This window comes from Homo sapiens, chromosome 6 (assembly GCF_000001405.40).
Source record: "Homo sapiens chromosome 6, GRCh38.p14 Primary Assembly".
Taxonomy (NCBI): Eukaryota; Metazoa; Chordata; class Mammalia; order Primates; family Hominidae; genus Homo; species Homo sapiens.
In genome coordinates this window covers 51,660,954-51,677,775 of record NC_000006.12, presented here as the reverse complement: position 1 = coordinate 51,677,775, position 16,822 = coordinate 51,660,954, and the positions used below count along the sequence as shown (strand labels likewise).

General features: G+C 36.9%; 1 protein-coding gene and 1 long non-coding RNA gene across 16 annotated transcripts in view; one reads left to right on the top strand and one right to left on the bottom strand.

The window, feature by feature from the left end:
- The window catches only part of PKHD1 (PKHD1 ciliary IPT domain containing fibrocystin/polyductin), a 472,317-nt gene that overhangs the window by 409,840 nt on the left and 45,655 nt on the right, over positions 1-16,822 (top strand). The gene's annotated exons all lie outside the window — the stretch shown is intronic.
- Positions 1-16,822, bottom strand: part of LOC124900615 (uncharacterized) — a 31,884-nt gene that overhangs the window by 6,195 nt on the left and 8,867 nt on the right. The gene's annotated exons all lie outside the window — the stretch shown is intronic.

Genomic DNA, 16,822 nt, shown 5'->3' with positions numbered 1-16,822 from the left:
CTTAACTTTCATCTCTTGATCTTTTTTATCAATGCAACAACTTTTATTAAAAGAGAACAAATATTTTGAGATATTCCCTGAAAGAACTGATTGTAGAGACAGAAAGGCCTTTAACAGAAAGTCTTACAGACATTTTTTGCTTCATGCAATAGCTGGTTTTATGTAGTTTTCCGTTTTTCTTGTATTAATTTGGAAGTGCGTCCTCATGGAAAATAGGCCCAACTACAAAACTTTGGCGAGATTGCTCATAAAATTGTGACAGATCCTATGATCTGTAGTTCCTGAAGTCTACCAGCCCATTTTACACCTGCAGATGCATATATTCCTCATACAGCAGCTTCCTGTTCTTAGGCAGTATCTTCAGTCCTTTCGAACTGTCTTCACTCTTGGGCGTTTTGTGGCTCCCGAGCATTGAAAGCCACTTCACTACACCAGTAACTAGCTATTAGAGTGCATCCTCCTCATTGAAAATGGTGCCAGAGGTGACTATACTCTGAAGGGCCACTGTCTAACAAACTGTGAAAGGCAATCTGAAAATGAATTAATTTTGAAGCTCTAGGACCTAAGCAGTGAGTGAATACATGTTGTACTTCTTCAATCTAATGAACTTTAAGTTTCTCATATTACTTGTAATAATAACTATTATAATTGTACTTAGTTTGGTTATAATAATTCCTATCAGTGTGTATATGTGCAAGCATATATATCTTTTTCATAATAATTAGAACTACCATATTATGGTCCCTCAATAGACTTTAAGTAGCTCTAATTCTAGACTCCAGATTAGCAAGGGTGTGTTTCCTATCACCTATATTGAATCTATTCTGCTTAAGAACATCACTCTCAATATGCCTTCACCTTATAAGTGTAACATACACCCATTTTTTTGAAGTTTAAACAAATGATTTTTTGCTTAGAATTGCCCATTCTAGAAAAGCAGACAGTTTTTCTCTATTATTTCTATTATGACCAAAACATATTTTCTTTAATAATTCTTTGGAAGATCACAGTTACTTCTTTTGTGTATTGAGGAGCACAGCTTTGAGATTTTGGAGTTTCACTCCTCATAGCCTGAGGGCCTGTGACAACATATATAAATGGGGATAAATTCAACCTGTCTTCACTTTATTTGATCTGGGACCATTTATATTTGTTAAATTAGAAATCAAATGAGGTATAAATGTTGTTTGCCACAAAAGAATTGTAAATGATTTCATTTCTTGAAAATAAGAGAATGAGTATATATTTTGTTTTTGTCAAATCTCCTACACTTTACCATGAATTGTGAAATATATTACAAAATGGCTAAAAAAATTATTGAGGGAAATGGTGGTGTTAACCTCAAGGAAAAAATCATTAATGTTGATGTATTTCATTCAATTTTAAACATATAAATTTTTCTTTTTTGTTGAAAACAGAAATATGGAAGGATTCTATGTGCATTTGAGTCAGAACATTTATTTAAATTTTTTTCTTTCCTTCAGATCCATTTTTCTAAATAAAGAATAGAAGTTTTTTTTTTTCTTTTCTTTTAATTTTTTTTTTTTTCTAGCAAAGACGACCCCTTTGGCATATTTTCTTTTCAAACGTGAAATGAGGTGGAAAATCCTCATTTCACGACAGGAAGGACAAATATTGACACAAAGTTAATATATGTTAGAACCCTGGAAGCAACCTGAATCTACACATGCACTCACACACATACACACCTGCCTCCTTCCTCCTCCTCTGCCACCAGACAGACTTCACTCACTGCCTTGGTTTCTACGTCTGTAGCTTCCTGTCTAGGGAAAGGTGGACAGAGCATACTGAATGACCAGGGTATTTTAGGAAGTTAAAGTATACACAAAGCAAGTGCTCATAGGCACACATGCACACACAAATACAACCTGCTTAATCTAATTTTCCCCACTTAGAGAAGAGCTTCTGGACTTTATCATGTTCTTGTCCATCGTGTATGCAATAGCATATGCCAAGCCAATACTCACTGGTCACTCAGCATTTATTAAGCCCTGTCCACCCTAGCCTTTTGGAAAGGAATGCCCTGGGGTGGCTGGGCGGCTGCCCCTGACAGGCTGTGTCACTTATCTATTCACATTGATTATGAAAGTCAGCTGTGGCCAGATCTCGCTTTTTTCCTTCTTCTCTCAGCCCCTCTTACAAGCACCCCTGCCTGGATTTTCATGAGGAAATAATCAGATTAGGCCTTTCACGGTGAGTTCATATGGAGTTCTCTTTCTCCAGTGTGCTACTAACTGAATAAACGTGTTTAGTGGTAAATTGTAAATGACATTATGATTACCAAAGCCAGCATGGGTTTCATTTAAAAATGATCAGAATTGCAGACCACAAAAATTGTGACTGGCAGATAGGCCATTTGGAGAAGTGGGAGAAAAGAAAAGACAAAAACAAGGGAGAAAGATAATCATTACTCAAAACTAAACCTTCCCCGAGTGACAGAAGCAGGAAGAAAACAAATCCAGAGGAAGGAAAAATGGAACGCTCTATAGAAGTGATGCTGAACTGTCACTGCAGGCTCCTGCCAGTAGTGGCTGAGGATTGAGCTCTGAAGTCTGTCACCCTCTTAAGTAGTTAATGTGTATTCTCTGCCATAATTAAGAACTACACCCATTTGGTGGCTCTGGAACCCTGCTTACGTGTGCTTTATTTTTGCCTCACGCCAAAATTAAAATAGGAGGATTGATTAAAGGTGACCTAGGAAAATGAATAAGATACTGACAAACTACCCCATCTCTTAGTCATTGGTAAACTCTGAAAAAATAAAAAATACATATATTTTTTAATTTATGAAGACCAGGATTTCAAGTCTGGCTACAAAAGTGGATAATTAATATTACTTGTTGATAATCCCTAGGCTATTGTCTTTGCTAAATATGTGGCTATATCTTTATACTCCTGGGATAGTATGATAAAATATTAAAAGGGCCAAATGAAGACATAACACAGCAAATGGACTCTTGCAAATATGTGATTTGACAAATCGTCAAACACTTTTCCATGTGTGCCTGTCAATAAATTGTGCAGAGAGAACTTCTAGTTATTACAGCCCCTTTCTCACAGGATAAATCATCACCCTGAACCTTAAGTCTAAACACAGGCCAAAAGGGGAGTTATTTAGACTACATTTAACTTTGCCAAAGGGACAGGTAGAAGTTTAGAAATATGCTTTTTTTCTTCTTCCTCATCTTCATCATTACTACTAAGTAATTATACTGAGTTAAAATTGCTGTGGCTCAAGTTTTTTCTCTATGAACTATGGATAATTAAACTTGCTATTAGAAAGTTTTAGGGAAGGGAAGTAGAGAAGGAAGAAAAGAAGAATTGAAGAAGGAAGAAGGAAGGAAAGGAGGAAGGAAGGACCACCAACCTTATGTCTTGAGGGCATCTTTGTAGTGAAGTCAAAGCTTCTTCTTTGCCATTCTAATCTCTATCCTGGCCTGTCCCACTTCCAAGCACCACACTCGTTAGTCTGTGGGTTTCTTAACAGATATATCTGTACCTACAGCTCTCCTAAGCAACCATTATGTGATAGCTGAAATGACAATGGTGTGACCACCATCCTGCCACATAAGATCTCCTTAAGCAGTATACCAGAGCATCCCATTGACAAAAACTGTGGGAAACCCTTCAGGCTCCTCTGATAGTCCCTAATTTTTACACCACTGTTAGTATAAGGATGCAATATGTTTTTCTTAATATCCCAGCTTTCCTCAGTCACTACCTACATGTCTACCACTCTCTATCTACCATCTCTAGAATACACATCTCCTTCCCAATCCATTCATGAGCTCACCCAACCTTTTACTCCGTTCCTCCAAAAGTTGTTCCTGGTGCTGTGAGAAAGTTTGTACTTGGGATCAGCAAACTCTTCTTTATATTCAAAGAACCTTCTTTTCACTCATTTACCTCAACTGGAACCTAGCCATCTTCTAAAGATTCCACTCTTTTTAAAGCCTCTTTAAGCCACACACTCAATCCTTAAGGTGTCTTTCATGTTTCCATGCTGCTCCCATGTCCTAAATAATATCCCTTAATAAAACCCCTGCCCCTCCGAGGCTGACACCATCTGGCTGACTACCTGCTTCATGAGTCTTATTGACATAATCAGCGTGGCTCTTCACTCCCTGAAGGCCAAAGAAACTGGATCACTGTTCTCTTCTTCATCCTAACTCTTTCGTGATTTTCTTAAGGTGGCTAACTCATTCAAAACCTTGACTGCTAAGAAAATAAACAAAGACTATGCAAAGAACCGGCAATTGCTATTTATCTGAACTTGCTATAGCAAGTGAGTCGGCCACCATAACTTCAATTTGGTAGAGATGCAAAGGCACACAGAAAAGTAGGAAAGCTTTATAGTGGAAAAAAGGGAAAGCTTCAGGTTAATGCTTTGATTAATGCTGTTGGCATGGGGAAGCTGGACACAGTCAAACTAGAAGTGGGGCATCCCATGTGGTTGGTTATGGATACATATTTTGCTTTCTCTAATTGGTTCTAAGTTGGAAACTGAGGCAAAAATTGGGGAATTATCAGGGAAAACACGGAAGCTGACAGTTATTAATCAAGTACTGGCTGTTTGAGGCTTGTTGTTTCACGGGTTATTATTTGGTCTTCTAGGACTGGTTACTGCTGTTTGTTGGTCAGAGTTCTATTTTGGTATCTGGCCTAGATATTGTCAGTTTATATATTATCTCTCATTGTTCATATCATCTTCAAGTCCTCTCTAGAAGAATGCCAGACACAGAGAAGGTCTTCAGTAAATGTTAGCCATTGCTGTTAGTATTTCTATCAGGTATGCTTTTTCCCCCACAGTACCTTACTACTCACTGACACAGTGATAACATTGAAATTGTCATGATCACTGAACTTCAAAATCATGAACTTAAGTACCATACTTTCAAGGAATAATTCAGGTCTTTCCAACTCAAATTGTTCAAGAGCCCCTTCCTTGTGGCATTAAACTCATTGCCATGTGCATTTTTCTAATATGCATGAGTGCCTTCCCTTCATTTCCCTTCTTATGCAGCTGAAATGAGCTATGCTTTCTTATCATCAGTTCTTTGTATATAACTTTAATACCTATGACTCTTTGTCCTTGGCATAGCCAGGCATGAACCCAACCTTGAATAAACTCAGCCATTCTGTTTGTCCATTCCATCTTACTGGGTATAGCCAAAGCATGTACTCATACATTCTCCACAACACGGGCAGACTAAATTTTCTGTGAAGATGATAAAGATTAGGTTTCAGGCTCTTCACTTACATGCGCCCCTTGCAAGGCTCCAAAACAAATCTCAGCTATGTGTTTGCATAGATCTGTGCTTTTGTAAAATTTTCAAAATTAAGATATTTTAACCAGAATTAGGATAATTCTCTCTTTCCACTCTAAATATTCCTTCATCATAAGTGGTGTGGGGTTGAGTGACAGTGGACTAGCTACAGCATTTTTGAAATCTAGCTAAGGGGAAACTGAGTTGGACATGCATTTGATTTGGGCTTAGTAGGGTGTGATTTGTATGGTTCCTAATCACTTCTATATAAAATTATTACTAGACATCTATGTCGACTTACCCGGTGTTGCAACACACAGAAGCCAGACCCTAGGTCACACTGTGTTATGAACATAATCTAAAACATGAGGAGAAAGTGAAAGGTATAAGAGATGTAGGATTGGGGTAACAGTCCAATAAAAGCTACTCTGTGAACATTTATTCAAGTATTACAGCTCATACATGAGAAAACCTTTCTAAGAGACTTCCCACATTTGACAAAAATTCTAAACATGAAAATGTCCCTGTCTGACAGCTTTGAAGAGAGCAGTGGTTCTCCCAGCATGCAGCTGGAGATCTGAGAACGGGCAGACTACCTCCTCAAGTGGGTCCCTGACCCCTGACCCCCGAGCAGCCTACCTGGGAGGCACCCCCCAGCAGGAGCAGACTGACACCTCACACGGGCGGGTACCCCAACAGACCTGCAGCTGAGGGTCCTGTCTGTTAGAAGGAAAACTAACAAACAGAAAGGACATCCACACCAAAAACTCATCTGTACATCACCATCATCAAAGACCAAAAGTAGATAAAACCACCAAGATGGGGAAAAAACAGAGCACAGAAACTGGAAACTCTAAAAAGCAGAGCGCCTCTCCTCCTCCAAAGGAACGCAGTTCCTCACCAGCAATGGAACAAAGCTGGACGGAGAATGACTTTGACGAGCTGAGAGAAGAAGGCTTCAGACGATCAAATTACTCCAAGCTACGGGAGGAAATTCAAACCAAAGGCAAAGAAGTTGAAAACTTTGAAAAAAGTTTAGAAGAATGTATAACTAGAATAACCAATACAGAGAAGTGCTTAAAGGAGCTGATGGAGCTGAAAACCAAGGCTCGAGAACTACGTGAAGAATGCGGAACCCTCAGGAGCTGATGCGATCAACTGGAAGACAGGGTATCAGTGATGGAAGATGAAGTGAATGAAATGAAGTGAGAAGGGAAGTTTAGAGAAAAAAGAATAAAAAGAAACGAGCAAAGCCTCCAAGAAATATGGGACTATGTGAAAAGACCAAATCTACGTCTGATTGGTGTACCTGAAAATGACGGGGAGAATGGAACCAAGTTGGAAAACACTCTGCAGGATATTATCCAGGAGAACTTCCCCAATCTAGCAAGGCAGGCCAACATTCAGATTCAGGAACTACAGAGAATGCCACAAAGATACTCCTCGAGAAGAGAAACTCCAAGACACATAATTGTCAGATTCACCAAAGTTGAAATGAAGGAAAAAATGTTAAGGGCAGCCAGAGAGAAAGGTCTGGTTACCCACAAAGGGAAGCCCATCAGACTACCAGCAGATCTCTCGGCAGAAACTCTACAAGCCAGAAGAGAGTGGGGGCCAATATTCAACATTCTTAAAGAAAAGAATTTTCAACCCAGAATTTCATATCCAGCCAAACTAAGCTTCATCAGTGAAGGAGAAATAAAATACTTTACAGACAAGCAAATGCTGAGAGATTTTGTTACCACCAGGCCTGCCCTAAAAGAGCTCCTGAAGGAAGCACCAAACATGGAAAGGCACAACTGGTACCAGCCTCTGCAAAATCATGCCAAATTGTAAAGACCATCGAGACTAGGAAGAAACTGCATGAACTAACGAGCAAAATAACCAGCTAACATCATAATGACAGGATCAAATTCACACATAACAATATTAACTTTAAATGTAAATGGACTAAATGCTCCAATTAAAAGACACAGACTGGCAAACTGGATAAAGAGTCAAGACCCATCAGTGTGCTGTATTCAGGAAACCCATCTCACGTGCAGAGACACACATAGGCTCAAAATAAAAGGATGGAGGAAGATCTACCAAGCAAATGGAAAACAAAAAAAGGCAGGGGTTGCAGTCCTAGTCTCTGATAAAACAGACTTTAAACCAACAAAGATCAAAAGAGACGAAGAAGGCCATTACATAATGGTAAACGGATCAATTCAACAAGAAGAGCTAACTATCCTAAATATATATGCACCCAATACAGGAGCACCCAGATTCATAAAGCAAGTCCTGAGTGACCTACACAGAGACTTAGACTCCCACACATTAATAATGGGAGACTTTAACACCCCACTGTCAACATTAGACAGATCAACGAGACAGAAAGTCAACAAGGATACCCAGGAATTGAACTCAGCTCTGCACCAAGCAGACCTAGTAGACATCTACAGAACTCTCCACCCCAAATCACCAGAATATACAATTTTTTCAGCACCACACCACACCTGTTCCAAAATTGACCACATAGTTGGAAGTAAAGCTCTCCTCAGCAAATGTAAAAGAACAGAAATTATAACAAACTATCTCTCAGACCACAGTGCAATCAAACTAGAACTCAGGATTAAGAATCTCACTCAAAACCGCTCAACTACATGGAAACTGAACAACCTGCTCCTGAATGACTACTGGGTACGTAACGAAATGAAGGCAGAAATAAAGATGTTCTTTGAAACCAACGAGAACAAAGACACAACATACCAGAATCTCTGGGACTCATTCAAAGCAGTGTGTAGAGGGAAATTTATAGCACTAAATGCCCACAAGAGAAAGCAGGAAAGATCCAAAATTGACACCCTAACATCACAATTAAAAGAACTAGAAAAGCAAGAGCAAACACATTCAAAAGCTAGCAGAAGGCAAGAAATAACTAAAATCAGAGCAGAACTGAAGGAAATAGAGACACAAAAAACCCTTCAAAAAATTAATGAATCCAGGAGCTGGTTTTTTGAAAGGATCAACAAAATAGATAGACCGCTAGCAAGACTAATAAAGAAAAAAAGAGAGAAGAATCAAATAGAAGCAATAAAAAATGATAAAGGGGATATCACCACCGATCCCACAGAAATACAAACTACCATCAGAGAATACTACAAACAACTCTATGCAAATAAACTAGAAAATACAGAAGAAATGGATAAATTCCTCGACACATACACTCTCCCAAGACTATACCAGGAAGAAGTTGAATCTCTGAATAGACCAATAACAGGAGCTGAAATTGTGGCAATAATCAATAGCTTACCAACCAAAAAGAGTCCAGGACCAGATGGATTCACAGCCGAATTCTACCAGAGGTACAAGGAGGAACTGGTACCATTCCATCTGAAACTATTCCAATCAATAGAAAAAGAGGGAATCCTCCCTAACTCATTTTATGAGGCCAGCATCATCCTGATACCAAAGCTGGGCAGAGACACAACTGAAAAAGAGAACTTTAGACCAATATCCTTGATGAACATTGATGCAAAAATCCTCAATAAAATACTGGCAAAACGAATCCAGCAGCACATCAAACAGCTTATCCCCCATGATCAAGTGGACTTCATCCCTGGGATGCAAGGCTGGTTCAATATATGCAAATCAATAAATGTAATCCAGCATATAAACAGAACAGAAGACAAAAACCACATGATTATCTCAATAGATGCAGAAAAGGCCTTTGACAAAATTCAACAACACTTCATGCTAAAAACTCTCAATAAATTAGGTATTGATGGGACGTATCTCAAAATAATAAGAGCTATCTATGAAAAACCCACAGCCAATATCATACTGAATGGGCAAAAATTGGAAGCATTCCCTTTGAAAACTGGCACAAGACAGGGATGCCCTCTCTCACCACTCCTATTCAACATAGTGTTGGAAGTTCTGGCCAGGGCAATCAGGCAGGAGAAGGAAATAAAGGGTATTCAATTAGGAAAAGAGGAAGTCAAATTGTCCCTGTTTGCAGACGACATGATTGTATATCTAGAAAACCCCATTGTCTTAGCCCAAAATCTCCTTAAGCTGATAAGCAAATTCAGCAAAGTCTCAGGATACAAAATCAGTGTACAAAAATCACAAGCATTCTTATACACCAACAACAGACAAACAGAGAAACAAATCATGAGTGAACTCCCATTCACAATTGCTTCAAAGAGAATAAAATACCTAGGAATCCAACTTACAAGGATGTGAAGGACCTCTTCAAGGAGAACTACAAACCACTGCTCAATGAAATAAAAGAGGATACAAACAAATGGAAGAACATTCCATGCTCATGGGTAGGAAGAATCAATATCGTGAAAATGGCCATACTGCACAAGGTAATTTACAGATTCAGTGCCATCCTCATCAAGCTACCAATGACTTTCTTCACAGAATTGGAAAAAACTACTTTAAAGTTCATATGGAACCAAAAAAGAGCCTGCATCACCAAGTCAATCCTAAGCCAAAAGAACAAAGCTGGAGGCATCACGCGACCTGACTTCAAACTATACTACAAGGCTACAGTAACCAAAACAGCATGGTACTGCTACCAAAACAGAGATATAGATCAATGGAACAGAACAGAGCCCTCAGAAATAACGCCGCGTATCTACAACTATCTGATCTTTGACAAACCTGAGAAAAACAAGCAATGGGGAAAGGATTCCCTATTTAATAAATGGTGCTGGGAAAACTGGCTAGCCATATGTAGAAAGCTGAAACTGGATCCCTTCCTTACACCTTATACAAAAATCAATTCAAGATGGATTAAAGACTTAAACATTAGACCTAAAACCATAAAAACCCTAGAAGAAAACCTAGGCATTACCATTCAGGACATAGGCATGGGCAAGGACTTCATGTCTAAAACACCAAAAGCAATGGCAACAAAAGGCAAAATGGACAAATGGGATCTAATTAAACTAAAGAGCTTCTGCACAGCAAAAGAAACTACCATCAGAGTGAACAGGCAACCTACAAAATGGGAGAAAATTTTCACAACCTACTCATCTGACAAAGGGCTAATATCCAGAATCTACAATGAACTCAAACAAATTTACAAGAAAAAAACAAACAACCCCATTAAAAAGTGGGCAAAGGACATGAACAGACACTTCTCAAAAGAAGACATTTATGCAGCCAAAAAACACATGAAAAAATGCTCACCATCACTGGCCATTAGAGAAATGCAAATCAAAACCACAATGAGATACCATCTCACACCAGTTAGAATGGCAATCATTAAAAAGTCAGGAAACAACAGGTGCTGGAGAGGATGTCGAGAAATAGGAACACTTTTACACTGTTGGTGGCACTGTAAACTAGTTCAACCATTGTGGAAGTCAGTGTGGCGATTCCTCAGGGATCTAGAACTAGAAATACCATTTGACCCAGCCATCCCATTACTGGGTATATACCCAAATGACTATAAATCATGCTGCTATAAAGACACATGCACACGTATGTTTATTGCGGCATTATTCACAATAGCAAAGACTTGGAACCAACCCAAATGTCCAACAATGATAGACTGGATTAAGAAAATGTGGCACGTATACACCATGGAATACTATGGAGCCATAAAATGTGATGAGTTCATGTCCTTTGTAGGGACATGGATGAAATTGGAAATCATCATTCTCAGTAAACTATCGCAAGAACAAAAAACCAAACACTGCATATTCTCACTCATAGGTGGGAATTGAACAATGAGAACACATGGACACAGGAAGAGGAACATCGCACTCTGGGGACTGTTGTGGGGTGGGGGGAGGGGGGAGGGATAGCATTGGGAGATATACCTAATGCTAGATGACGAGTTAGTGGGTGCAGCGCACCAGCATGGCACATGTATACATATGTAACCTGCACATTGTGCACATGTACCCTAAAACTTAAAGTATTATAATAAATTTAAAAAAAAATTATAAACATTTGCACATACCAATAATGAGTTGCGAAGCTGAAACAAATTCTTCTAAACTACCAATGAAATTATGGAAAACAAACGTCAATCATCCAAGCTATAGAAAATACTAAATTATCTTTCTGTCTTCTCTATAAAAAATATTACAACATTGTTGTTATATGAAGAAGCAATACAACAGTTACAATAAAATATAGGAAGGATGATACAGAGGTAAGCTGGGTAGTATATGTATTACCTTTCCCTAGATTTTATCATGTTTGTGGTACTTACGAGGTTTTTAAAACATAATTGTGTTGTGATTTTTTTCTCATTTTAAATAATTCATTCCCACTCCAAATTTTGAATTGATATCTTTGTACCTACTTTTATGGAATGGTTCCCTCACATTGTATAAGCACTAAAGTAACAGAAAGACTGAGTTTGCACCTCTTTCACAATGACTGTTTTATACCATCTTCTCAGTCCACAAACATTTGACCCAACTTTCCTGCCCCTCATCTTAGCCCCCAATACTCACCGTCATACTTGACTTCCTGTTGATAACCGTGCTTGCCTCACACCTCCCAGCAGATAGAGTGCCTTCAATCTCCCACCCACCTCCACCTGTGCTTACACTCTCTGCCCTCCTTCCTGCTTCAAGGGAGATGAAGTCTTTCAACCTATCCAATCCCATCTTATTTAAGAAGGCTGTGGACCCTGTTCTTCCTTAGCCTCTCAGAGAGCTTACTGTGTCAGTCATCCACTCCCTCCAACATTAGCCTCTCACTTTTTATGAGTTCTGTCTTATCTACAGCACTTCAGCTTGCATCTAAACACAACAATCTACCTTTTTGAAATGTACATTTTAAGAGACTCTGAATTATTACATCTATGCATTAGCTGCTTCTCACAATTTCATTGTGAGTGTTAGACTGGTTTATTCCAATAACATTAAAGATAAAAGAACCTACTTTTCAGCTCATGTAGGGCATTTCATTTGTACAGAATCCTTATTGTCAAAACTCTAAGGTAAAAATTCTTGCTGAAATAGGCTTGTATTATCAGAGATGACTAATTGTTTGGTGGGATTATTTAATTTGTGGGGTTTTTCGGGTCTGTTTTAACTTTCTTTATAAAAGGAAAATTTTCTACTTATCCACAATAATATATCTGATATACAAATCATTTTTCCCCTCAGTGGCTAAAGCTACTTGTATATAGCTTCATCTCTATAAAGAGTTTGGGGCAGTCACATCCCAATCATCATTCTCATATTTCTAACAAAGAAACCTCAGCTCTGACTTCTGAGAAACATTGGGCTAGAAAAAGTATATCTGTCACAAGACTACATAGCCTTGAAATATAACTAATTTGTTATTTATTACAGATTTTTTTTGTACGGTATTTTTCCTAGGGTAGAAAAAATTGTAAAGAGTATATTCTGGAGAAAAGATATCTTGTTCGTTGTATGTTTTGTCAAGAAGATCTGAACCAAAGAAGTAATTTAAATATTCTTTATTCTTATCTTGAATCAAAATGAGTATATTTTTCATTTTTGGGGAGTGTAGAAAGGAAAGAATGATGAGAATATTTTATAATAACTAATATTTGATGAAACTCTTTATTTAAATAAGAAGATACTAATTATTAACTTTCTGAAGGTCATAGGGGTAAATCTCCAACCAGATATGAGAAATCAAAATCCATGTGGTCCTTTCACAGCAAGGTATTCATACACAGAGGTTTAAAACATAAAAATGGGAGAAAATAGGAATAAAAATAATGCGTGTAATTGGCACTGCACTAGTTCCTTTGCAATCAGGAAGGTAATTGGCTAAGTTTAAACAAGCAAATAACTAACACATAGTTGAGAAGCCTGGCATTTGATCTCTAGTTTTAACACAGTGCTTAATAATAACAATATGGCAACTAGAGAGAGGAGCCATAGTAACAAAATCTTACTGCATGCACAAGGAATCCAAATAAATGTTTATCCAATTCCTTACCACAATCTAGGGTTTGTAATTAAATTCATACAAAATGCCAATGGGTCATAAAGATTTGTGAATTTTCATTCTCTGTCATCTTATTCCTGAGTTTCCTCATGGACCGGTCCTGGGCTAAACTCTCCAGGGTGTGCAAGGGCTCTGCATCACACACTTTCAGCAGAGATTGTGCCCTCTCGGGCTCCAACCCTGCACGATTCAAACCCTTTTCTCCCTCTGTCTCCTTCTCTCCCTCTCAAGTGCCTGCCTTCTACCTAGGTAGTTTGTCATATTCTTTTTCATCCAGTGTCATGACTGAATAGTGGAATGGGGAACTTTGGATCCTTGAGGCAGAAATGGCTTGGGTGACCAGCCTTTATGACAGACTGGCTTCTGGGTGGAATATGTAAAAATAAATAAATAAGTAATAATGGGCCTCTTTGAAGGTATACATCCTACTAGTATAACTCCTGTACCTTATTACTCCAAAAAAATGTTAATTACATTTTAAAAGGCCATTTTTTATTATTTTGGCCTTGGAAGTTACCTGTCATAAGGAATGGAGGTATGAAAGAAAAACTTATTTTCCACCCATGTGTATTTATTTAATGAATAAATGAATTGTTCCCAAAATGCTTTATTACAACAGAACCTGTTGTGGACAAATCAACTATGAGATACAATAGCAGAAGAAAATTTATAAAAGTATAGTCAGCCATAATTTCAATCTTATGGATACATGTGAAATAGATGTATTACAGTATTGCCTAACATATATTAAGAATCAATTTAGAGGATGATACAATAAATTTTTGTGATATACTCAATTATTATTGTTATGCTGAGTTGACTTAAAATATATTTGTACTATAGAGTAAGAGTCTTATAATTAGACACCTGACAAGAACACATAAAGTGATTTGAAGAATAGGAATTTTGAAAAGGACATTACATATCAATCAGCTAATAAATATTAAAAGCATCTACTGTGCTTGAGGTAGAATGTTGACCCTTGTGGTGATTTAGAGATGAAATATTGTCCCTGACCTGAAGAGATAACCCTTAAGAACACTGATGCCTACTAACGTCATGTGATTTATCAAATTACATACAGTTAGATGGTAGCAGAGAATGATTGAGAATCATCAACAAAGGAAGTGATTGTTTTTGTTTAATTATTTATTTATAATTATAACAGAACTGTACATCTTTAGAGGTCACTTTAAGACATTATATCTCTTAGATGAGAAGTAGGAAGAACAAAGCCAGAGATTTATAAAATTGGATGGAATGTGAGTGATTAATCAATAACATCAGCATGGCTGAAAAAAATGTGTAAAAAGGAGAGTGAGCTGCCAAGTTTAGAAAAGGGGAACCTCTGTGATTTGAGGATTTCCCATGAGGAAATGTTACCTAACTATCTTATTTGGAAAAGATATAACTGTAGTAGAGATTGGTGCATCAGGATCTCAAAACAAAATTTCTAGGGCCATTAAGACCATGTAATTAATTTGCCTTCATACTGGATCCATGCTTCTGAAGACAACTCTTAACATTAGAGTTAGCCTATGATATAATCACAGGGAAAAAAACACAATGTGAAGGTTAAAAAAAGGAGACTATTCCTTTAAATTTGATAATTAAATTTTTATTTAATTTTTAGCATTCAATGCAATGAATCCAATTTCATTAAGAGACATAGAACAGTTCAAAATTTCTGTTTTATCTTGTGTCAATTTTAAAGAAATTTGTCTACTTTAAGTTGTTGAATGTGTTGGCAAATGTTTGTTTGTAATAGTTTCTCTTTTTTTTCTGCAGAATCTGTAATGATAATCCTTTCATTCTTAAAATTGGTGATTTGTATTCTCTTTATTTTGATCGGTCTAGGGAAGAGTTAGTCAATTTTGTTGCTGTTTTCCAAGAATCGCTTTCTCTATTGTTTTATTTTGTTTTGTTGTTGTTTCTTTTCTACTTCATTGATTTCTGCAATCATATTGATTATTTCCTTTCTTTGACTTTTCTGTGATCTTTTTCTAAATTCCTTAAAAAATTTTTGACGTGCAGTTCTGTTATTTTTTTCCAGCTTTTATGAGGCATAATTGACAAATAAAAATTTTAAATATTTAGGATATACTATATAATGTGATGTTTTGATACACATATACATTGCGAAAACTAATATATCCATTACCTCATTATTACCTTTTTACTTGTATGTGTGTGTGCGTGTGTGTGTGGTGAGAATATGTTAAGATCTACCCCCTTAGCAAATTTTAATTATATCATACAGTATTATTAACTGCAATCACCATGCTGTCCATTGTATCTTTTTTCAAAATTCTTAAGGTAGTACCATATAGGACATTGCTTTTAGATAATTCTTCTTTGCTTATATGAGCATTTAACACTATAAATTTTCCCATAAAAGTACTGTTTTAACTTCATTCCCCAAATTTTAATATAGTAAAAGTATAATTATTATTGTTTTAAATATTTTATAGTTTTCCTTGTGACTTTTAATCATCCCTGTTTTTGCTGTTATTGTTGAAGAAAAAGTAAAACATGTGCCCTACTTCTGAACCAACAATTTGGTAGTTAAATTTATTAACACCATGGTCAGGTTTAGCATAGATTTATAATTATATCATATGGATGGAAGAATATAGGAAAGACTAGATTATATGCAAATCTAGTATTTCCTACATTAAAGATAATTTGATTTTTTGTTCCATTTCTTAAGCTACTTTTATGAACTTACACTAAGGCAAATTTTAAAAATCTAGAAAACAATACAGAATGATTTCGTGAATATAAATTTTAAATCAAAGAAATTCTTTATTGAAAGATAAAATATCCCTATGGATTCAAAACAAGAACTATTCTGGGTTCATATAGGAGGTATTAGGAATGGTAGAAATAATGAATAACGCTGTTCCTTTAAATGTTTTATTAACCCTCACCATCCTCAACTTGGACTCTTTAATATCAACAACTTCCGAAGTTACTACTTTCTTCTTTCCTTCTTCTTGTATTTCTTTACTTTTTATGTTTAGGGAAAAATAGAGTATGAGAAAATTATATAGTTTGACATCCAAACTCTTTCACAATCTGGTCAGACACACCTCTTCAATTTTAATATGCCTTCATAATTTCTCTGTTCCACCCATTCCCCTCCATCTACCTCTTCTCCCATTCGCTTGGATGTTACTACCCCTTCTCTTATACCCTATTTCTATTATGGAGCTATGATATTGTGAGATTCTTTCTATATCTATATCTATCTAAATCTGTATCTATATCTATATATCTATATCTATATCTAATCTATATCTGTATCTATATTTCTGGTTCCTGAGGCAGAGCTACTAAAATCAGTAGTGCTAGGAGACTCTTTTGTTCGAATATTTGATCTTTGACTCTGGTTGCTGACACAGAAGCCCTAAGATATTTGTAATTCCCTAAGTGACAGAAACATTGGATACACAGTTCCTAAATCCCTTGGAATTTCCTGGGTGATAGGAATATCTTTTTTTTCTAATGAGCTAATGCCTCAACTACTGGATAGCCTCAGGATGGAGGCTGGTTGCCAGGGGAACCAATCACGTGACTAGAGGGTTGGA